The sequence below is a fragment of the Homo sapiens genome, chromosome 1, assembly GCF_000001405.40.
Source record: "Homo sapiens chromosome 1, GRCh38.p14 Primary Assembly".
Lineage (NCBI taxonomy): Eukaryota > Metazoa > Chordata > Mammalia > Primates > Hominidae > Homo > Homo sapiens.
Genome location: NC_000001.11, coordinates 32,392,925 through 32,415,699, shown reverse-complemented (window position 1 = coordinate 32,415,699; position 22,775 = coordinate 32,392,925). Strand labels below are relative to the sequence as shown.

The 22,775-nt window shown below is 46.3% G+C and overlaps 1 protein-coding gene and 1 pseudogene across 7 annotated transcripts in view, besides 8 other annotated features; both read left to right on the top strand.

The window, feature by feature from the left end:
* Positions 9,495 to 9,574: an enhancer, noted in NCBI's record as "active region_690". NCBI's record gives its function as "activates an Ori minimal core promoter by ATAC-STARR-seq in GM12878 lymphoblastoid cells {active_cell/tissue: GM12878}" and the evidence as "EXISTENCE:reporter gene assay evidence [ECO:0000049][PMID:35858748]".
* On the top strand, positions 12,517 to 13,801 carry GAPDHP20 (glyceraldehyde 3 phosphate dehydrogenase pseudogene 20; annotated as a pseudogene).
* Positions 14,788 to 14,907: an enhancer, noted in NCBI's record as "active region_689". NCBI's record gives its function as "activates an Ori minimal core promoter by ATAC-STARR-seq in GM12878 lymphoblastoid cells {active_cell/tissue: GM12878}" and the evidence as "EXISTENCE:reporter gene assay evidence [ECO:0000049][PMID:35858748]".
* Positions 19,431 to 20,126: an enhancer, noted in NCBI's record as "H3K27ac hESC enhancer chr1:32861175-32861870 (GRCh37/hg19 assembly coordinates)". NCBI's record gives its function as "activates a minimal SCP1, AML or CMV promoter by ChIP-STARR-seq in naive H9 embryonic stem cells {active_cell/tissue: H9 hESC(naive)}" and the evidence as "EXISTENCE:reporter gene assay evidence [ECO:0000049][PMID:30033119]".
* Positions 20,825 to 21,520: an enhancer, noted in NCBI's record as "NANOG-H3K27ac-H3K4me1 hESC enhancer chr1:32859781-32860476 (GRCh37/hg19 assembly coordinates)". NCBI's record gives its function as "activates a minimal SCP1, AML or CMV promoter by ChIP-STARR-seq in primed H9 embryonic stem cells {active_cell/tissue: H9 hESC(primed)}" and the evidence as "EXISTENCE:reporter gene assay evidence [ECO:0000049][PMID:30033119]".
* Positions 20,825 to 21,533: a biological region, named in NCBI's record as "NANOG-H3K27ac-H3K4me1 hESC enhancer GRCh37_chr1:32859781-32860476".
* Positions 20,874 to 20,953: an enhancer, noted in NCBI's record as "active region_688". NCBI's record gives its function as "activates an Ori minimal core promoter by ATAC-STARR-seq in GM12878 lymphoblastoid cells {active_cell/tissue: GM12878}" and the evidence as "EXISTENCE:reporter gene assay evidence [ECO:0000049][PMID:35858748]".
* Positions 21,244 to 21,533: an enhancer, noted in NCBI's record as "active region_687". NCBI's record gives its function as "activates an Ori minimal core promoter by ATAC-STARR-seq in GM12878 lymphoblastoid cells {active_cell/tissue: GM12878}" and the evidence as "EXISTENCE:reporter gene assay evidence [ECO:0000049][PMID:35858748]".
* The window catches only part of BSDC1 (BSD domain containing 1), a 29,809-nt gene continuing 28,292 nt past the window's right edge, over positions 21,259 to 22,775 (top strand). For all 7 annotated transcript variants that reach the window (NR_125352.2, NM_001143890.3, NM_001143889.3 and 4 more), the window contains exons 1-2: positions 21,259 to 21,296; positions 21,560 to 21,620. Coding sequence is in view for 6 of the 7 variants with exons in the window: in NM_001143890.3 (NP_001137362.1) it covers positions 21,286 to 21,296; positions 21,560 to 21,620 (72 nt within the window). In the remaining variant the exon portion in view is untranslated. The remainder of the gene's footprint in view (positions 21,297 to 21,559; positions 21,621 to 22,775) is intronic.
* Positions 21,521 to 22,218: an enhancer, noted in NCBI's record as "NANOG-H3K27ac-H3K4me1 hESC enhancer chr1:32859083-32859780 (GRCh37/hg19 assembly coordinates)". NCBI's record gives its function as "activates a minimal SCP1, AML or CMV promoter by ChIP-STARR-seq in primed H9 embryonic stem cells {active_cell/tissue: H9 hESC(primed)}" and the evidence as "EXISTENCE:reporter gene assay evidence [ECO:0000049][PMID:30033119]".

Sequence of the window (22,775 nt, the reverse complement as noted above, 5' to 3'; positions counted from 1 at the left end):
AAAAATACAAAATATCAGCTGGACGTGGTGGTGCATGCCTGTAATCCTAGCCACTCAGGAGGTTGAGACAGAAGAATCGCTTGAACCCAGGAGGCAGAGGTTGCAGTGAGCTGAGATCACGCCACTTCACTCCAGCCTGGGCAACAAGAGTGAAACTCAATCTCAAAAAAAATAAATAACAAATAATAAAAATAAATAAACTGTGAAAGAAGGAAAAACACTGTAGAAAAGTCTGGGTGTTCCAGTTAGGGTTGTCAAGAGGTATTTCCTCTCTTCCTATTGGGAATGGTGTTTCCCGTTTTTTTTTTTTTTGCCTTTCGTATTTTCTCTTTTCCTTTTAGGCCTACTATGGGAGACATATTCCTCATCTCCAAATTTCTCTGCTGCCTACAGAGCTGGCTGGCTCTCAGCTGTGGTTAGGGTTTGGCTTAGGAGAAGCATAACACCCCTCCATGAGAGGTCAAATACCTAAGTTACATTTTGGAAAGCTTCTATATACCTATTGGGGTTGTCAGAAAATTGGCCTAAGTCTCTCTTTATTTGCCTAAGGTCCTGTAATGAGAAGGGAACTTGAAAGGGCCCCAAATAAGGGAGATCCTCAGATGGATCCCCCAGAAGTTGCTTCTCTAATTTGGGGGCATTATTCTCTTTGGTCATGCCAAATGTGATTGCTAAAAGGGCTGGGTTAATTTTGTAACACTTGCAAAGGTCTAATAAAAAGGCCATGCCCTTGTGCAAAAGAAAATGAGCCACTTTTTCTTTAAAGTTTCAGGGTGAAAGGAGTCCCAGTGCTTCAGAATGCATTCCAGGGGAGTGCAGGCTGAAGATGGTACCCATCTAGAAAGAGAAGTGAGAAAAAGGCATCCTTTTAGTCTCCTTCCTTTTGGTGTGACCCAGGGTGGAGACGAAGACAGTGGGGGTGTCCCCCTGATGTTTTCCCTCCGTGGTTCCTTGGTCCCAGCACCTTGTTGAACATGCCACCCATGGTTGCAGGCGTGACCTCCAGCCATGGAACCAGAAGAACTAAGCGATTGGGGCTAGTCACGCTCACCCAAGTGACTCTAGTCCTCTGCCTGTGATTTCCCTTTGACTTCCTGGATTTGTGTGATCTACCTGGCTCCCCAAAAATTGGATCCCAAGAAAAGCTATGTAATAGTTGGGCAAGGACCCTTTAATGGAGTGGGAGTGCTAAATTGAACTCTATATCCTGCTATTATGGCCCATACTGAAGCGTTTACCCTTAGAGAATGGTTCTCGTTAACTTCTGAACTTAAAATCCCCTTACCAATTAAGTACCACTCTAATTGGAGGCAGAATAGGTGCCTTAAAAGAATGTAGGTATTGAATGGCCCTTTTACTGTTGATGGGACAGTATTGACACTAAAATTTGGTTTTGGAGGATATTTTACCCCTAATTGTTGAAGGCAGAGTTTTCCCATTTACAGAAGTAGCGTGAAGCCTGGTTTTTAGTAGAGAGGCACAAAAAGGGGAGAGAATTGGGAGGCTAGGGTGTTTCAGTGAAGGACAATGTGCCTCATGGAGAGGATCCCTATTCCACTAGGTGGCGCTGTTTACCTTGAAACGCCATGTGCTCTCTAGACCAAGGACAGAGTGACATTGACATGCCATATGTTCTCCAGACCAAGGACAGAGAGAGACCTGGAAATGCCGTGCTCGCCAGACCAAGCGCAGAGACACATGCTCACTGTTGGGGAGGAACCCTCTGTTCCTAGAAAATCACAAAGACACCTTCCCCTGAGCTATATCCCCAGTTACTATGACATTCCCTGATCTTGCCAAACAAGATTACTTCCCTGAAGTGTAAAACTTCCTGCACACTGCATACACAGAGAGGATAAGAGATATGACAAATGTGGTCAAGGAAGGAGGAAATTATGAAGGAAAGTTGGAGATCCTGGTGCCGACACCCCACTGGGGTGGTTGGAAGCAGGGGTCAGTCCAGAAGCCTTTGGATAACACCGGGGGGTAGCCCCAGCCAGAAGCCCTCAGTTGCCTCAGGACTTCTTCCAGCGCCACACCATGGCTGTCCTTCAAGAAAGGTCTAAAATGGAGACTGAGAGCCTCAGAATGAAAAGACAGAGTTGGAGTCCACTCCTTTACTCACTGTTTCGATGAATGTTGTACTTTGGTATCCCAGACAGGCCCCCATTATGAAGCAGCTTCGTTTTCTGGGGTATATACCCTTGGGTTCTTTGTTGTGGGCCAAAAAATTTAGGACACAGACAAACACAAGGAGTTTAGGAGCAGAAGTTTAATAGGTAGAAGAAAAGAGAGAGAAACAGCTTCCTGCACAGAGGAAGGGGTCTCCAAGCAGAAGGAACCTAGCAGAAAATGACCAAGTGGAAAAGGACTGGCTGGTGGCAAATAAGCTGAGTTTTATATACAGTTTGAGGTCGTGGTGTCTGATTTATGTAGGGCTCACAGATTGGTTCGATCAGGTATGGGTTTACATAGGGCACAGGGAAGACTGGTCACCTCACCTTAATCTTCTTATGCAAATGGACTTTCCAGTTGATCAGCACTATCTTATCCACTCCTTTACAGTACCCATGGCTGGCAGAAAAGGGAGGATGGAGCCATCATCTTGAACATGTCTAGTCCTTAGTTCCTGCCTGCATTCACCTGTGCAAGCGCCCAGCTTTCAGGCTGCTCTTTGTTAGAAAATGATTTGGGGCTGCTTTTCATTAAAAAGAGAAGACTTACCAAGGACTCCCATCCCCTTACTATCTGCCTAAGTAATTTCTTCTTAACTCCTGTATCAACAGTTACCCATCAAATACAAAGGAGGAAGGGTTACCAGTAAGCAACAGGGTTGACATGAAAACAGAGTGGTGAGACCTACAGAAATCTTTGGAAACAACTGCTTATGAACGGCCTACCAAGTTCCCACTTTTTTATTTTTTTTGAGACAGGGTCTCACTCTGTCACCTAGGCGGGAATGCAGTGGTGCAATCATGGCTCACTCATTACAGCCTCAACCTCCCGAGCTCAAGTGATCCTCCCATATCAGCCTCCCAAGTAGTTGGGACTACAGGCACGCACCATCATCCCTGGCAAATTTTTGTACTTTTTGTAGAGATGGGATTTCACTGTGTTGCCCAAGCTGGTCTCGAGCTCCTGGGCTCAAGCAATCCACTCACCTCAGCCTCCCAAAGTGCTGAGATTACAGGCATGAGCCACCGTGCCCAACTCCCACTTAATGTTTTCTTTTGTTTTTTGAGTCAGAGTCTTGCTCTGTCACCCAGGCTTGAGTGCAGTGGTGCAATCTTGGCTCACTGCAACCTCCATCTCCTGGGATCAGGCGATTCTCCTGCCTCAGCCTCCCGAGTAACTGGCATTACAGTCATGTGCCAACACACCTGGCTAATTTTTTGTATTTTTGGTAGAGATGGGGTTTCACCTTGTTGGCCAGGCTGGTCTTGAACTCCTGACCTCAAGCGATCCACCTGCCTTGGCTTCCCAAAGTGCTAGGATTACAGGCATGAGCCACCACACATGGCCTCCCACTTAGTTTTTATATCAAGACAAACAACAAAAATACCTCCTTGTCCAGTAAACAGAGGTCTATTTTGACACAATAGACAGTTTTCATCTTTCACGCAATTCCCATACATGAATCAATTCACAGGTGCACAGACCATTGATTAAAGGAAGAGTATAGGATGCTTAAGGAAAGATCCAGCAACAGCAACACAAGTTCATACTATGAACATTTTTTCCTGTTCTTTCCCAACGGATAAATACACAAACCTCTTGGGGACAATCAGACAACTAACCACAGATTCCTGGAGACCCACAATGCCTCTGGGCTTCAGCAGTCAGAGTATGGGCTTATGGAAATGTATGATTAAGTGTTGATAAGAAAAACAGAGAACATTCAACATATTTCAAGCAGAAATGTATATAATGCAGGGACTTGCTTACAAAGATGTTGGAAATGCCAAAGGAGCTAAGAGTAAAATGTGACATTTTCCAGAGCCCAGGAAACCACCCTGGGGGTGAAGCCAACAACCCCACTTTCACTACTGACAGTGCTGGAAGAGCCACCACTGCTAAAGGTAAGTCACCTCCTAAAGCCTAAGAATTTCTCCCTTCTTCTCACCTTCAAATATAACCAAGCACCTCCCATTGGCACAATGTAACTGGGACCCAGCTAGCAGTGGAGTCTGGGAAGTGTTGTTGGCTGGTGTCTAGCTCTGGCAGTACAGGGCAGATGGCAGATGGTCAACTGAGAGGCTAAGTACCAAGAGACAACAGGAGGCATGGGGATTTAGGTGACAAATGGAGTTTTGACCAAAGTCCACTTTAGGGTGGATCTAGTCCCCAAAACTGATAGTTTTGTCCTTGTTTGTATAACTGTAAGGAATTTCCTAAAATACTGGCAGAAACCTGCATTAGCCTACTGACCATAGGTTAATAGCTTTTATTATAAGAATAGGTTATTATATAACTTAACATAGGTTAAATAGAATAGGTTTATTATAAGAATAGGTTAATAGCTTTTATTATAAGAAGAACAGGCTGGGCGTGGTGGCTCATGCCTGTAATCTTAGCACTTTGGGAGGCTGAAGCAGGCAGATCACCTGGGGTCAGGAGTTCGAGACCAGCCTGGCCAACATGGGGCAACCCCATCTCTACTAAAAATACAAATATTAGCCAAGTGGCAGGTGCCCGTAATCCAAGCTACTCGGGAGGCTGAGGCAGGAGAATTGCTTGAACCCAGGGGCAGAGATTGCAGTGAGCTGAGATCACACCACTGTACTTCAGCCTGAGTGAGAGAGTGAAACTCTGCCTCTAAATAAATAAATAAAACAAGCTGGATGTAGTGGCTCATGCCTGTAAACTCTCAACACTTTAAGAGGCTGAGGCTGGCAGATCGCTTGAGGCCAGGAATTTGAAACCAGCATGGGCAGCATGGTAAAACCCTGTCTCTACTAAAAATACAAAAATTAGCTGGGCATGGTGGTGCACGCCTGTAATCCCAGCTACTCAGGAGGCCGAAGCAGGGGAATTGCTTGAACCTGGGAGGCAGAGGTTGCAGTAAGCTGAGATCATGCCACTGCACTCCAGCCTGGGTGACAGAGTGAGACTCTATCTCAAAAAAGAAAAACAAAGTAGAACTCATCAAAGTTTTTCATTCCCACCAAAATGTAAATTAAAATAAAAAATTCTGGTATGCTGAGAGCAACTAAAAGAATTTTTTAAATAAAAATAAAATAAAAAATCCTGAAAGCATTGCAAAGTTTAATGCCACCATCAAAGACCTCAGATATGCAGAGGCGGTGACTTCTGTCACATCCATATCCATGTCTTCAGTTTAGATAAAGAGACAGATGGTCTTCAAGAAGGTGGAGGAATATTGAAAACTGAATCAAATGGCAGCCTCAGTTGCCACTGCTATTTCAGATGTGGCTTTTGGGGGAGTACATCAGTACGACTCCCAGAATTTGATCAAGCAAATGCATTTTTCTCCAATATAACAGAGGATATAAGAAGCAATTTGTGGCCAGGCATGGTGCCTCATGCTTGTAATCCCAGCACTTTGGGAGGCTAAGGCAGGTGGATCATTTGAGGCCAGTAGTTCGAGACCAGCCTGGCCAACATGGTGAAACCTTGTTTCTACTAAAAATACAAAAAATTAGCCAGGCATGGTGGCGGGTGCCTGTAATCCCATCTACTTGGGAGGCTGAGGCAGGGGAATTGCTTGAACCCTGGAGGTGGAGGTTGCAGTGAGCCAAGATCGCGCCATTGCACTCCAGCCTGAATGACAGACCGAAACTCCATCTCAATGGAAAAAAAAAAAAAAAAAAGAAGCAGCAGCAATTTGCTTTATGGCCAGGCATGGTGGCTCACACCTGTAATCCTAGCACTTTGGGAGGCTGAGGCTGGCAGAAGTTTCAGTGAGCCAAGATCATGTGTGCCACTCCACTCCAGCTTGGGTGACAGAGTGAGACTCCCTCTCAAAAAAAAAAAAAAAAAAGCAATTTGCTTTATAATCTTTACTCAAAGAAAATCCAACACTTCTGCTCTGTGCCCCAATTTGGTCTGTAGAAATTTTGGCTCTGCCATCATCTGTATCAGTCAGTTCAGTGCAGAAAACAAACAACTCAATGTATTCAAAACAGGCGTTTCCTGCCAGCAGCCACTTCTGCAGAAAGGTGACTTCTGCCTCATGTCTGCTTTCCCAAATCTCACATGGATGTGCCTACTTGAAGGAACCTAGTTCACAAGCAGAACCTTAGCTGCAAGGGACTCTGGGAAATGTGGTATTTCACTTTACAATGCATCCAATAGAAGGAGGGTGGCATAGAGGTCAAGAGTCAGTCCAAGTATTTGTCATTCCATCCTACAGGCTGTCATGCTGTTCCACTATTTTGGTGGCATCGTGCTGACAGAACCCCAAAAGTAGAAAACATTGGGTATAAAAGGGTGGGAGATAAATCCAACAAAAATATAGCAGCCTGCCATTTCATTAAAATTTTGGAAGTCACACAGTCTGAGACACACCAGGACATTCCCTCCAGAGCAAAGGACAGGTTGCTGCACTTTAGTCTTCCTTCCTCTAAGAAGGAACCCCAGTGCTTGATAGGTCTCTTTGGATTTTGCGGGCAACATACAAACATTACTAGGTACACTACTTCTTTTTTTTTTTTTAATAATTTTTTTACTTTTATTTTTAGCAAAGACATGGTTTTGCCATGTTGGCCAGGCTGGTCTTGAACTCTTGGCCTCAAGCAATCAGCCCGCCGTGGCTTCCCAAAGTGCTGGAATTATAGGCATGAGCCACCGCACCCAGCCAACTCCTTCTAACTATTTGCCAGTCTCCAGGTTTGAGTAAGGCACAGAGTTAGAGAGGATGCCTCTCCAACTGGTCCAGGCTCAGCAATTTGGCCCTGACAGCTGAACAGATCCACAGTCAAAGTGTCTGAGGGAAGGCCAGGTGCGGTGGCTTACACCTGTAATCCCAGCACTTTAGGAGGCCGAGGCAGATGGATCACCTGAGGTCAGGAATTCAAGACCAGCCTGACCAAGATGGAGAAACCCCATCTCTATTAAAAATACAAAATTAGCTGGGCATGGTGGCGGGTGCCTGTAATCCCAGCTACTCAGGGGGCTGAGGCAGGAGAATTGCTTGAACCTGGGAGGCGGAAGGTGCAGTGAGCCGAGATCGTGCCATTGCACTCCAGCCTGGGCAACTAAGAGTGAAACTCTGCCTCAAAAAAAAAAAAAAAGCGTCTGAGGGAAATGATGCCATACTGAGCCTATTGCAAACATTGGTAGAGGGATCACCATAGAGGCCCTCAAAGTTTGGAGGCAAAGCTGTTAGCCGTTCCTCATTCATACTGAGTATTTTTCTTTTGAGAAATAGCTCCTGAGTTTTAGTAGTAGTAGCTACTCGTAGCTAGTAGCTACTTTTTTTTTTTTAAAGAACATGAACCAAAGTTTTATTTGTTCATTATCGCATTTGAAGTACTCTTCGATGACATCCTTGCCCTAGTAGTAGCTACTAGGATTTTCCTAATAGTTCTAGTAGGCTGAATGCTTGACCATAGAGCACTAGGTGACGTTGCAACCTGAGCTGCCCATCATGAATTGGGTGTTTTCTGATCGCCAATACTCAGTAATTCTCAAGTGAAAGTGGCCCATAGAGAATGTGGCCTAAACAGCCCTGAAGGTGCAATGAGCAGGCTGTTCTTACTCCCAGTACCCATTCCTGCACACTGCTCCAGAGACTCCAACCCAGGCGACATGGGAGGAAACGAGTGTGAACTGTTATGCATGGCTCTGTACAATGTGCTGGTATGAGCCAGAAATGGACTGTCATGGCCTGAGCAAGGTCACTCTGAAGGATAGCAGAGAAAGGAACTCTTCTTGGTGGCAGTTGGAGCAAGGCATGTGGTTTTCCACTGTCTCGAGGCAGAGATGTCTTGAAATCAGAATCAACATTGAATCACAGGCCATGGTTACTGAAGGAAGCAAGATGAGAGAATAAAAAGTTTAGGAGAGGATGGGCACGGTGGCTCATGCCTGTAATCCCAGCATTTTGGGAGGCCGAGGCAGGCAGATCACTTGAGGTCAGGAATTCTAGACCAGCCTGGCCAACATGGCGAAACCTTTGTGTCTACCAAAAAACACAAAAATTAGCCAGGCTTGGTGGTCACGCCTGTAATTCCAGCTACTCAGGATGTGGGAGCACAAAAATCACTTGAACCTGGGAGGTGGAGGTTGCAGTGAGCAGAGATGACACCTCTGCACTCCAGCCTGGGCAACAGAGTGAGATCCTGTCTCAACAACAACAAAAAAAGTTTGGGAGAGAGAAACAAGGATAGACCCGCTGAAATAGACCCAGCCATTAGAATATTCATGACTATGTAAATGATTGTGACAAGGCTCCACTGTAAAGAAAAAATTATATGAGAGCCTGGTTTTCAGATGGCAGATTCTGAAAGAGCAAGAAACAGTTTTATGAAAATGGTTATATGGCCCCAAAGGATGCTGGAGAAGGAAATTCCTCAATAGGCAGAACTGTAAGCAGTGCATTTCATTGTCCACTTTGCCTGGTAGGAAAAATGGCCTGAGGTCAGGATCTATACCAGTTCACGAGCCAATGACAAATAGTGTGAGTAGCTCAGCATCTTAAAAGATTGCAAGTTAATGACAAAGAGGTTTGGGAAAGGTGGATTTCCTGGAATGGTCACAGATCATGAGACAGCAGGTGTGCCAAATGATTGCTCACCATGGGCCCCCGCTGTGCAGGAAGCTTTCACTAATCAGCAGATCTGTTCTGTGGATATTAACTAGATGGCCTTTTCCACCAGCCAGTCCAGTTCTTGTTCAATGGGTTCATGGACAAAGGACGATAGTGACAGGAGTGGAAATTATGCATAGGCCCAAGAACAGGGACATCCCTGTCCAAGGCCGTCCTGGCAACCACCACTACTGACCTACTGATGCCCTGTTTGCCTACAGGAGCAAACAGTCCTGGACTCTTGATGTGATGTCATACCTTGAGGGAACAAACCAACTATCTGGTGGCAGATCAATTACATAGGACCATGTCCCTTGTGAAGAAGGAACAATTTGTCTCACCGGTGACAGTGCTTACTCTGGGTTTGAATTTCCTTTCCCTGCTTCTCATTCTTCTCTCAGAACCTCCATCTATGGACTTAATACACAGTCTTAGTGTCCCACACAATATTGTTTCTGACCATGAAATTCACTTCACAAGAAAAGAAGTGAGAGTGAGCAGACACCAGAGGATTCACTAACCTGAGCTCCATCAGCCAGCCTTCTAGAGTGGTGGCAAAACCTACTGAAGGTCCAGGTAATCTACCAGCTGTTAGATAGCACCCTGTGAGATACAGCACTGTTAAAAGGATGCAGTATATGCTCTGAACCAGTGTACCATTTCTTCCTTAGCCAGATACATAGTTCAGAAACCAAGAGCTGTGTGTAGGAGTGGTTTCTTTCACACTTAGACTTTTTTTTTTTTTTGGAGACAGGGTCTCCCTCTGTCACCCAGGGTAGAGTGCAGTGGTGCAATCTTGGCTCACTGCAACCTTCACTTCCCGGGCTCAACTGATTCTCCTGCCTCAGCTAGCACCACAGGTGTGAGCCACTATGCCTGGCTAACTTTTTTTTGGTATTTTTTAGAGACAAGGTTTTGCCATGTTGCCCAGGCTAGTCTCAAACTCCTGGCCTCAAGCGATCCATCTGCCTCAGCCTCCCAAAGTGCTGCGATTACAGGTGTGAGCCACTGAGCCCAGCCCACAGTGAAACTTTTTGACTCACTCATAAGTTATTTGCTTCTTGACTCTATGACTGTAGGGAGGGGAGGTATGTTAAAAGCTTTTAGTGTCTAAGAGAGAAATGCCTCCATCACGTGACACAAATTTTCAACAAATTGGAAGTTGAAATTGCCACTCAACCTTTTTGAGTATCTCCTGCCACTGAACAGACAGGCCAAAAAAAAAAAAAAAATCAAGATATTTTCTAGAATTTTTTTTTTTTTTTTTTGAGACGGAGTCTCGCTCTGTCGCCCAGGCTGGAGTGCAGTGGCGGGATCTCGGCTCACTGCAAGCTCCGCCTCCCGGGTTCACGCCATTCTCCTGCCTCAGCCTCCCAAGTAGCTGGGACTATAGGCGCCCGCCACTACGCCCGGCTAATTTTTTTGTATTTTTAGTAGAGACGGGGTTTCACCGTTTTAGCCGGGATGGTCTCGATCTCCTGACCTCGCGATCCGCCCACCTCGGCCTCCCAAAGTGCTGGGATTACAGGCGTGAGCCACCACGCCCGGCCATTTTCTAGAATTTTATACTCTAGTTACCAAGCGGAAATAGGTTGTTACCACTGAGTGGAGGCAGGGAGGTTTAGTGATAGACTTTGCTATATTTCCTAAGGATCCTACAACTACTGCAATATTCTGTGATCAAAGTCACGGCAAAACTACTGCAATTCTATACAAAAGGATCTTCTAGGCCACAGATAGCTCAGGAATGAAGGGGTGGGTCTCTCCTGTGGCTAAATAACTTGAACATCTGTTGCTGACTGAAGGCAGATGGAACCTAGAATAGATAGTAAAGAAGGAAAGTCATAAATACAAGATCAGCCTTAGACTGCTTTATATGGGGGGGGGGCGGATTATAGTCTCTACTTGAATTTCTTTCCTTGATGTAGATATTTACATATTTCAAATACTTTTGCTTCTCTTTCTTCTCCCTTTCTGCCACTATCGTCTCTAGGTGGTTTTATAGGGAGATTAACTTCACCATTCAGTGATGGATTGCAGATTCCTAAGCAGGAATTCTGAGAGCCGGAGGACAGTCGTCAAGGCTTTGGATGCCTTCTTTGGAGAGTAATTAAAACAGTGTTTTTAATTACAGAAGTGGTAGCTACTTTATGCTAATTGGGAAGCAAGTCTAAGTTCAAAACACAGAGTATATGTGTTTGGCAGCAAATGGGGAACAGGACAGTTGATGTTCGGGCTATCTGCATCCAAGCCCAGTCTCCCTTTTGGGAAAAAACCCTCACTGTTGTAGTAAGAATATTCCACTTCCCACCTCCCACCTCCCTTACACAGAAGCCAGAGGGAGCTAAATCTTTCCCCACTCCCAGAAATAGCCAAGAAGGAGGCTTATGGTGTGTGAGTCCCAAAAACAATGCTGGAGGTGCCCAGAAGAATATTATTATTGACTGAATGCGGTGGCTCACGCCTGTAAGTTTAGCACTTTGGGAGGCTGAGGCGGGTGGACTGCTTAAGCCCAGGAGTTCAAGATCAGCCTAGGCAACATGGCAAAACCCTGTATCTATAAAAATACAAAAATTAGCCAGATGGTGGCGTGTGCCTGTGGTCCCAGCTACTTGGGAGGCTGAAGTGGGAGGGTGGCTTGAGCCCAGGAGGCAGAGGTTGCATTGAGCCGAGATCGTGCCACTACACTTCAGCCTGGGAGACAGAGTGAGACCCTGTCTTAAAATATATATATATTGCCGGGTGTGATGGCACATGCCATGTGATGCATGTGATGAGTAATCCCAGCCACTCAGGAGGCTGAGGCAGGAGAATCGCTTGAACCCAGGAGGCAGAGTTTGCAGTGAGCCTAGATCGCGCCATTGCACTCCAGCCTGGGCAACAAGAGCAAAACTCCATCTCAAAATATATATATATATAATCTATATAATATATATTACATATTTTGCTATATTTCCTCTGAGCCAGTCCACAGTGCCATCTTTTGGGAACTCTGGTAACAGAGCCACCCTGGAGACAAAGTTCTTCTTTGCTCTTTGGGCTACAATATTCCACCCCTTTGGTTGTTCTAAGAATTCTATGAGACAACAGTGCCTAGCACACAAAGGATGCTCCCCTTTTGTCAATTATAAAGTGATACGTAAATATATGGGAGTCTGGGGAGAACAGGGCTTTGCTCAAAATCACATAGGACATTAGGAGTACAATCAGGACCCGTGTATTCTGGTAAAAGTTTAACAATTGGCTTGGCGGAAGAAGGGGCATGATTTGTATTGTTTGTGGATTTTAATGATTAAACACTCCCACCTTCATCAATTTTAAGGTGCCAATGTGACATCAATCACTGAATGCAGAGTTGAGGAGAGATATCTCCTATTAGGCCGGGCATGCTGGCTCATGCCTGTAATCCCAGCACTTTGGGAGGCCGAGGCAGGTGGATCACCTGAGGTCAGGAGTTCAAGACCAGCCTGACCAACATGGTGAAACTCTGTCTCTACTAAAAATACAAAAAAATTAGCCAGGCATGGTGGCATGCACCTGTAACCCCAGCTACTCGGGAGGGGGAGGCAAAAGAATCGCTTGAACCCGGGAGGCAGAGGTTGCAGTGAACCGAGATAGTGCCACTGCCCTCCAGCCTGGGCAACAAAAGTGAAACTCCGTCTCAAAAAAAAAAAAAAGTACACTATTATATAGTATTTCCACCATATAGATACAATAAATGTAAGTTACTTCAAGAACACAGATGAGCTCTCTGCTCTTGCCATACAACATACAGACACATCTCGTGTAGCACCAGCAGCAGCCTTGAGACATCATGGTGTGAGTGAAGGCCAGAGTAAATAGATGGGACCATATTGGAAGCCTGTTTACCAGGGCTGCTTTTAACTCTAGCAAAGTGGATAGTGTCACCATCTATGACCACTTCATTCAGGTCAACTCCATGGTCTACATGTTCTAGTATGACTCCACCCATGACAAGTTCCAAGGCACCATCAAGGCTAAGAACAAGAAGTTTGTCACCAATGGAAATCCCATCACCATCTTCCAGGAACAAAATCCCATCAAAATCAAATGGGCTGGTCCTGACGCTGATTATGTTATGAAGTCCACTGGCATCTTCACTGCCTTGGAGAAGGCTGGGGCTCACTTAGAGGGTGCAACCAAAAGGGTCATATCTGCTCTCTCTGTTGATGCCCCCATGTTTGTGATGGCCGTGAACCTTGAGAAGTATGAAAACAACCTTGTGATTGTCAGCAACGCTTCCTGTACTGCCAATTGTTTAGCTGCCCTGCCCAAGGTCATCCATGACAACTTTGGCATCATGGAGGGACTCATGGCCACAGTTGGTGCCAATATTGCCACCCAGAAGACTGTGGATGGCCTCTCTGGGAAACTGTGGCGTGATGGCCACAGGACTCTCCAGGACATCATCCCTGCATTTACCCACTCTACCAAGGCTGTGGGCAAGGCCATCCCTGAGCTTAACAGAAAGCCCACTGGCATGGCCTTCCATGTCTCCACTGCCAACATGTGGGTTGTAGACCTGATCTGCCATCTGGAGAGAGCTGCCCAAATATGATGACATCAAGAAGGTGGTGAAACTGGCATCGGAGGCCACCCTCAAGGGCCTCCTGAGCTACACAGAGCACCAGGTTGCCTCCTCCAACTTTAACAGAGACACCCACCTTTTCCACCTTCAATGCTGGGAATGGCATTGCCCTCAAAGACCACTTTGTCAAGCTCATTTCCTGATATGACAATGAATTTGGCTACAGCAACAGAACGATATACCTTATGGTCTACATGGCCTCCTAGGAGTAAGGGCCCTCTGAACCACCAGCCCCAGTGACAGCACGAGAAGAAGAGAGGCCCTCAGCTGCTGGGGAGTCCCTGCCAAACTCAGTCCCCCACCACACTGAGAATCTCCCCCTCCTGAACACTGTTTCCATGCCAGGCTCCCTGAAGAATGGGAGGGGACTATGAGACCGCACTTTGTCATGTACCATCAATAAAGTCCCCTGTACCCAGCCAAAAAAAGTAAAGTGAGCATAAATGATAGTGAAATATATAAAAGTAATTACATAGTGATGAGTTTGGGTTATTTATTACCTTTGTTTTTATTTTATTTATTTATTTTTTAGAAATGAGCTCTTGCTCTGTCACCCAGGCTGGAGTACAATAGTGTAATCATACCTCGCTGTAACCTTGAACTCCTGGGCTCAAGCGATCATCCTGCTTCAGCCGCCTGAAAAGTTGCGATTATAGGTGTGAGCCACCACACCCAGCTCTATAACTTATTTAATGGTAAGTTTATAAAATTTAATTAAATAATGTCCGTGTTCAACAACCAGCTTTTAAAATTCCTTTTTTTCTTTTTCTTTCTTTTTTTTTTTTTTTGAGACAGGGTCTCCCTCTGTCACCCAGGGTGGAGTGCAGTGGCTCGATCCCTGCTCACTGCAACCTCTGCCTCTCAGGCTGAAGTGATTCTGCTGCCTCAGCCTCCCAGGTAGCTGAGACTACAGGCGTGAGCCACCACACCCGGCCAAAATTCCTGAAATGTTAACAATCAGCTCTAGAGGGCTGAACTAGAACCAGTCCATGGGCTTTTAGGCATTCCCTGTGCTGCCTGCATCAGTAACTTAGGCATTTTGGTCTTACACTGGGTTCTACAAATTACGCAGCCAGTCCTCCTGCCAACTCTATGCTGGAATCTGCACGCCAAACCGAGGGCGGGCTTGGGCCTTGGAAATTTCTGAAAGGCTTGAGTCACCTCCCAGGATTATCCCAGGCCTAGCAGCCTTCCACGGAGGAACCCCACCCTGTCCAGAGGAGCCAGAAGGCCTCTCCTAGGAGCCGGGGAGATAGGGAGCCGGGGAGCCCGGGAGCCAGCTTCCCGTGAAGAATGAGTCCACAGCACCATCTGGTGGCACCTGGGTGTCAGGGCTCCTTGGGAGCAAAAGCCAGGATCCTGGGATAAGAATCACCTGCCAATTCTAATGGGGTGGGTAGGGGGAGTAGGAAAAAAATCATCTGCCAAAAGGGGTCCAGCAGTGTCAGAGGGGGGATTTGAGTCAAAGGAGGGTCTGAGGGTGTGGGATTTACCTGCATTCATACTTTGCCTAAGAGCTGCAGGAGACTGTAGAGGCCCCAAGGACAGTGAAAAAACTGAATTTCAGAGAGAAAAAGTGACAACTGCCCATAAACCAGTATTAAAATCTAGCTCTGCTGACTCCCAAACCAGTGTTCTTTCAACATACTGTTTAACTCAACAGATGTCCATTAGCCCTCTACCAGCGCCTAGCATTGTATGAGGCTCTGAGGACAGGGGTAAGGAGGTAAGACAATCATAATCCCTACATGAGGACTTTATGCCTTGCAATGTGCTAGGTGTTTTATTTATTTTCTTTAGTCATTACAACAACCAGAATTAGTATCCCAATGTTAAGGATGAAGACATTGGCCGGGCACAGTGGTTTATGCCTGTAATCCCAATACTTTGGAAAGCCAAAGCAGGTGGATCGCTAGATCCTAGGGGTTCGTAGACCAGCCTAGGCAACATAGCAAGACTCCATCTCTACAAAAAAAAAAAAAATTAAATTAGGCATGGTGGCACATGCCTGTGGTCCCAGCTACTCAGGAGGCTGAGGCAGGAGGATCACTTGAGCCTAGAAGGCTGAGGCTGCAGTGAGCCATGATCATGCTAGTGCAGTCCAGCTGGGGTGACAGAGTGAGACCTGCCTCAAAAAAAAAAAAAAAAAAAGGATGAATATGTTTGATGCCAGAGGTTATGGCAGTGAAAGGAGCCAACGGTCAAGGTACTGGGGTGAACAGATAAGGAAGACCAAAGAAACCCAAGCAAAGGGTCCCACTGAATCCACAGTCACTAGGGACATCATGGGCGAGCACTCTGCTGGGCCTGGGGGTGAGGAATGAGACAAGGTGAAGATAACGAAGGACAGGATGCCTGCAGCTATCATCTGGGTGGGGAGGCAGGACATAAGGTTGGAAGAAGTTAAGACTAGCATGAAATGCACAGAAGCTTGATTTTATTAGACAGCCTTGGGTTCAAATCCGAGTTCTGCCATTTCCTAGCTGTGTTACCTTGAGAAAGTCACCCCATATCTCAGAATCTTAGCTTTTTCACTTTTATTTAAAAAAAAATAATAGAGGCCGGGCACAGTGGCTCATGCCTGTAATCCCAGCACTTTGGGAGGCTGAGGCAGGCGGATCACCTGAGGTCAGCAGTTCAAGACCAGCCAGGCCAACATGGCGAAACCCTGTCTCTACTAAAAATACAAAAATTAGCTGGGTGTGGTGGTGCACGCCTGTAATCCCAGCTACTCAGGAGGTTGAGGCAGGAGAATCGCTTGAACCTGGGAGGCTGAGGTCGCAGTAAGCCAAGATTGCACCACCGCACTCCAGCCTGGGCGACACAGTGAAACTGTCTCAAAATAATAATAATAATAATAGAGATAGGGTGCCATTATGTTGCCCATACTGGTCTCAAACTTCTGGGCTCAAGCAATCCTTCCATCTCAGCCTCCCAAAATGCTGGGATTACATGAGTCACCGTGCCTGGTCACCTTCTTCATTTATAAAATGTAGATTAAAAATAGTTCCCACCTCATTGAGCTTTTGGGAAGGTACACTGTATAAAGTGCTCACCCCAATGGCACCGTTAGATCTGTTAACAGTAGCATTCAATCATTTGATCACATCATCTTCACAACACAAATCATTTCCTTATTCCAAACCTTTGGTGACTCTCCTCTGTCCATGAATTTTAAGTCCTGCATTCAAGGCTCTCAAGAATCGAGATGTTAATGACCTTTACAGCCTCACGTCCATCCTCTCTTTTCCTTTTTCTTTTTAGCTATTCCAGATTGCTCTAAATTAGTCCTGTCTTTGTCCTCACTCTCCTTGCATTTATTCTTTCATTCACTGAACAAATATTGAGTGTCTATTATGTACCAAACACTGTTGTAGGTGCTAGCCGTAGACAAGTGAACAAGACAGACAAAAATCCTGCCTTCATTGAGGTTGCATTTCTAGTCTGAAGGAGGCAAACAATTTTTTAAACAAAGTATAATATACAATATGTCAGAGAAGAGAAATGGGGGTGCTTGTTATGCAACTTGTGATTTTAAATAATGTGGTCAGGGTGAGTAAGAAGATTATATTCAAGTAAAGATCTGAATGAGGTGAAAGTTAGAAGCACATAAATATCTGGAGGTAAGTGCAGTCTAAACAAAAGGAACAGCAAGTTGAAAGGCCCCAAGTCAGGAGAGTCCCGGGAATTTTCAGGGAATATCAAAGTAGCCAATGTGTCTGGAGCAGAGTGACTAAGGGGGCCAGTAATGTGAGGTCAGATCAACTATACGGGGCCTTAAAGGAGACTGTGAGGACTTATTGGCTTTTTCTCTGAGTGAAATAAGAGGACATTGCAGAACTTTGGGCAGAGGAAGGCTGTAATCTGGCATGTATATACATATACATATATATATATATACACACACACACACACATGTTTTTCTTTGTTTTAAAGACAAGGTCTCTCCATTGCACAGGCAGTAATGTAGTGGCATGGTCACAGCTCACTGCAGCCTCAACCTCAAAAAATTAGCCAGGGCTGGGTATGGTGGCTCATACCTGTAATCCTGGCACTTTGGGAGGACGAGGTGGGTGGATCGCCCAAGGTCAGGAGTTCAAGACCAGCCTGACTAACATGGTGAAAACCTGTCTCCACTAAAAATACAAAAATTAGCAGAGCATGGTGGTGGGCACCTGTAATCCCAGCTACTTGGGAGGCTGAGGCAGGAGAATCGCTTGAACCTGGGAGGTGGAGGTTGCAGTGAGCCAAGATTGCTTGTCACTCCAGCTTGGGTGACGAGAAAGAAACTCTGTCTCAAAAAAAAAAAAATTAGCTGGGCGTGGTGGCATGCGCCTGTAGTTTCAGCTACTAGGGAGGCTAAGGCAGGAGAACTGCTTGAACCCGGGAGGCAGAGGTTGCAGTGAGCTGGGATCGTGCCATTGCACTCCAGCCTGGGTGACAAGAGCAAAACTCCATCTCAAAACAAACAAGCAAACAAACAAAAAACCACCAAATATCTGTTTGAGTACTTGCCTTCTATTCTTTTGGGTATATACTCAGAAGTGGAAGTGCTGGATCATATGGTAATTCTGTTTAATTTTTTTGAGGAAATGGCATATTGTATTCCATACCAGTTGCATTCCCAGTGACGTATGTCTTTTAAAAGATTACTTTCAGGCAAATGAAGACTAGACTTAAGGAAGGCAAGAGTGGATGCAGAAATATTTGTTAAGAGGCTCTTGTAATTAACCATGAGATTGATTATGGTAGCTTGTATCTACATAATAACAGTGGAGGTGGTGAGAAGTCACTAGATTCTGGTTTTGTTTGAAAGGCAGAGCCAACTGGATTTGCTGATGGGATTAGTTTGGGAGTATGAAAGAAAGTGAGAAAGCAAGGATGACTCCTAGGTTTTTGGCTCGAGCAACTGGAATAATGAGGTTCCATTTACAAATGTGGGAAAGTTTGCAGGAAGATGAGGTGGATAAATCAAGAGTTTGTTTTGGGACATGTTAAAAATAATACACCTATTACACATGCAAATAGACAAAATGAACCTGATGTTCAGAGAAAATGTATGGGTTGGAGAGGAAATTTGAGAGCCATCAGCATATACATGGCATTTAAAAGTATGAGATTAGTGAGATGGCTCACACCTGTAATCTCAGCACTTTGGGAAGCCAAGGTGGGTGGATCACTAGAGGCCAGGAGTTTGAGACCAGCCTGGGCAACATAGTGAAGCACTGCTAAAGAAAAATTAAAAGTAAGGCAACACAGGGAGACCTCATCTCTATTTAAAAAAATAATAATAGCTGGGCTTGATGGTGCATGCCTGTAGTCCCAGCTACTCAGGAGACTGAGGCAGGAGGATTGCTTGAGTTCAGGAAGTCAAGGCTGCAGTGAGCCATGATCGTGCCACTGCACTCCAGCCTGGGCAACTGATATGGTTTGGCTCTGTGTTCCCACCCAAATCTCATCTTGTAGCTCCATAATTCCCACGTGTTGTAGAAGGGACCTGGTGAGAGATGACTGAATCATGGTGGGGGCGGGTTTTTCCCGTGCTTTTCTCATAATAGTGAATGGTTCTCATGAGATCTGATGGTTTTAAAATCGGGAGTTTCCCTGCACAAGCTCTCTTCTCTTGTCTGCCACCATGTGAGATGTGCCTTTCACCTTCCTCCATCATTGTGAGGTCTCCCTGGCCATGTGGAACTGTGAGTCCAGTAAAACTCTTTCTTTTGTAAATTGCCCAGTCTCAGGTATGTCTTTATTAGCAGTGTGAAAATGGACTAATATGGCGACAGAGTAAGATCCTGTCTTAAAAATAAAATAAAATGGGCCAGGAGCAGTGGCTCACGCCTGTACTCCCAGCACTTTCAGAGGCCGAGGTGGGTGGATCACCTGAGGCCAGGAGTTCAAGACCAGCCCGGCCAACATGGTGAAACCCCATCTCTACTAAAAATACAAAATTAGCTGGGTGTGGTGGTGGGTGCCTGTAATCCCAGCTATTCTGGACGCTGAGGCAGGAGAGTCATTTGAACCCAGGAGGCAGAGGTTGCAGTGAGCCAAGATCATGCCACTGCACTCCAGCCTGGGCAATAGAGTGAGACTCCATCTTAAAAAATAATAATAAATAAAATCATGAGACTTTATGAGAATATCTGGGGAATGACTATAAACATCAAAAAGGAGGAGGACACCAAGGGCTGAGCCTTCTCCCAGGGAATATCCCATTCCAGCAACAAGAAGGCGGTGAGAAAACAGCAAAGAATACTGAGATGCCAATGAACGGGGAAGAAAGTCAAGAGGGCATGATGTCCTGGAAGCCAAATGAAGAAAGTGGTCAACTGTGTCAAATAAGATGCGGATGTAAAACAAGAACTGAAAAGTGGCCATTCCTCTTGGCGACCTTAAGAAAGTTATGTCAGGCTGGGTGCAGTGGTTCATGCCTGTAATCCCAGCACTTTGGGAGGCTGAGGAGGGCAGATCACCTGAAGTCAGGAGTTCGAGACAAGCCTGGCCAACATAGTGAAACCCCATCTCTACTAAACATACAAAAATTAGTCGGGCATGGTGGTGCACAACTGTAATCCCAGATACTCGGGAGGCTGAGGCAGGAGAATCGCTTGAACCCGGGAGGCAGAGGTTGCAGCGAGCTGAGATTGCACCACTACACTCCAGCCCGGGCAACAGAGCAAGACTCTGACTCAAAATAAATAAATAAATAAAATAGATGTTTCCGTCTTCCACAGGGAGGACCAAAAATAAATAAATAAATAAAATAGATGTGTCCGTCTTCCACAGGGAGGACGTGGGATGGTGGCGGAGCTGGCTGCAGCAGAGCTACAAATAAATATAAAATAAATAAAATTAAATAAAATTAAATAAATAAAAGAAAGTTATTTCAAAGGATTGTCTGAGAGGCAAAAACCTAACTGCAGTGAGTTCAAGAGAGAATGGGAGGAGAGGGGAGTTGCAGACTGTGAGTAGGCAACGCTTTTGCTGTAAAGGGGAGTAGGGAAACGGTGAGGGATATAGAGAGGGCTGGTTTTTGTTTGCCTTTGAGATGGGAGAAACAGCAGTACGGATGATGACAAGGATAAATGCAGTCATCAGAGGGAAAAGAGATGAAGGGGGGATTACTAGATCTATGTCCTTAAGCAAACAAGAGGCGATGGGATCTACCGCACACGTGGAGGGGCTGACCTTAATTAAAGTCCAAAGTATGTGGGCTGTGGAATCTCCCTTCCAATCGCAGTAGAACTCAATCCAGGCGGTCTCCGGATTTCTCCAGACCACCTCCACCTGGCGTTGTTCTGAGCTGGGCCACCGAAAGTTGAGATTACTGAATGTGTGTGTCTCCCATTAACCCGTAAGCCCTCCAAAGGCTGCATCTAAGTCGCCTCTGAATTATTCACATTCCTCCAAACTCTGGGCCACAGCCCCGCAATATGGGCTTATTGAATTAGCCCAAAGAGACACAAAGCAGCCTCTACGCAGCTGGTTTCACAAAGGGGGGCGGTCCTAACCCTGCGCTCTGGGATCCTGACGTTCGAGCTATCTCTCCTCCTCCCCTCTGCTCCCAGCTCTCCGCAGTCCAGCTTGTCGGCTGATCATCGTCCATAGAGGCCACCGTACCCGACGTTTGCGGACAGTGACAAAGAGTCAAGCTTGGTGGAGCCTGAGGACAGGACTGAATGACGATTGAACTGAGAGTTCAGGGGCGGAGTTTGAGGGCGAACTCGGGACAGAGACTGGATAGAGTTCAGGGAGGCGGGACCTAATGATGGCGCAGGGAGGGGATTGGGCTGAGGGCGGTGCCGGCGCGAGGATTGGGCCGAGCGCCTCGGGGGCGGTCCTTGAGGGGGCGGTGCCGTGTCGGAAGTCAAAGGTCAGTAAATAGTGGTGATGTCATGCAGGCAAGATGGCGGAAGGGTGAGCTTGTCGTTTTGCTCCTAGGCGTTGGGGCCTGAATTCTCCCAGGGTTGGGGTGCTGGGCGAGAGTCCCGGTGGGGAACGTGAGATCAGCGGGGGCGTGGACTGATCTGAAAGGGCAGAGTGGAGTCGCATTGTGAGGGGGTGGGCAAGCGGTCTGCGAAGCCTCGGCCCGCAGGGTACATCTGAGCGGGGAACAAACCGGATCCTTGGGCGGGCAGGAATCGCACCGCGGTGCTGCCAGATGTGTCTGTCTTCCACAGGGAGGACGTGGGATGGTGGCGGAGCTGGCTGCAGCAGAGCTACCAAGCAGTCAAAGAGAAGGTAAGCCGGGCCCGTGCCCTTCTTCCCTCAGCAGGGCCCTGCGCCGCCTCAATGCAACCTGGTCCAACCAGCCCCGCCCAACTTTTGCGGGCGCTAAGTCTCAAGGATGAGGCTGACCTGGGCCTTTCTTTTAGCCTCTACCGGTCCACGGGAAGACAGACCTCGACGCAAACCAGTGTGATACTAGCCACAGTGAAATAAAGATGGTTTTAAAGGCTGGAGTTAACGAACGTTTTGTAGGAATCCATAGGAAGGAGCAATTTATTCCAGCTCAGGAAATTCAGTTTCTTCGTGAAAGAGAGAGCATTTGATACAGGTCTTGAAGGAAAAGATTCTAGCAGTAAAAAAACTTACTCGTATAGTCATTCAAATATTAGAGTATATGCGACAACCAGCACTCTGATAGGTCTTGAGGATACAGACTTCAGCCAAACAGATGTAATCCTGGGCCTTACAAAGCTCACAGTCTAGTGGAGAGACAGCCATTAACCGAGTAGCCAAACAAATAGTTGTTTAGTTACCGTTGTGGTAAGTTCTGTGAAAGGAAAGTACAGGGGCACCTTGTCTGTTCTGGTTAGTCAGTAACTCACCAGGGAAGGCCCCTGTGGAGAAGGAACCTCATCAAGGGCAACCCTGCCTAGACAGGATGAAAAGCAAGAACCCAAGCCAGAGATGAGCATGAGCCATACACACTGGTGCCTGATGAGTTCTAAGTAGGGGCTATGCAACGGGCAGTAGAGAGAGAGAGATTAATCACCAGAGAGTGGAAGGCCTTCTTGCTGAACAATCTCTGTGGGATGAGTGATATTTGGCTGTGCCAGTGGGTAATTTGCCAATGTGTATTCCTGTTTCATTTCATGCTTATTTGTCAAAATCAGCCCAACTGAATTGTGGGAAAAGTTGATTACTATTTACCTCAAGCAATTGGGATGAGTCCTGCTTCAGGGCCAACTCCAGGAAGCTTCTGACCTCACCTAAATAAGTCCTCTACTCTGGGAGTATTTTTGTTTTGTTTTGAGACAGAGTCTCACTCTGTCACCTAGGCTGGAGTGCACAGGTGCGGTCTCAGCTCGCTGCAACCTCTGCCTCCCAGATTGAAGTGATTCTTGTGCCTCAGCCTCCCGAGTAGCTGGGATTACAGGCATGTGCCACTAC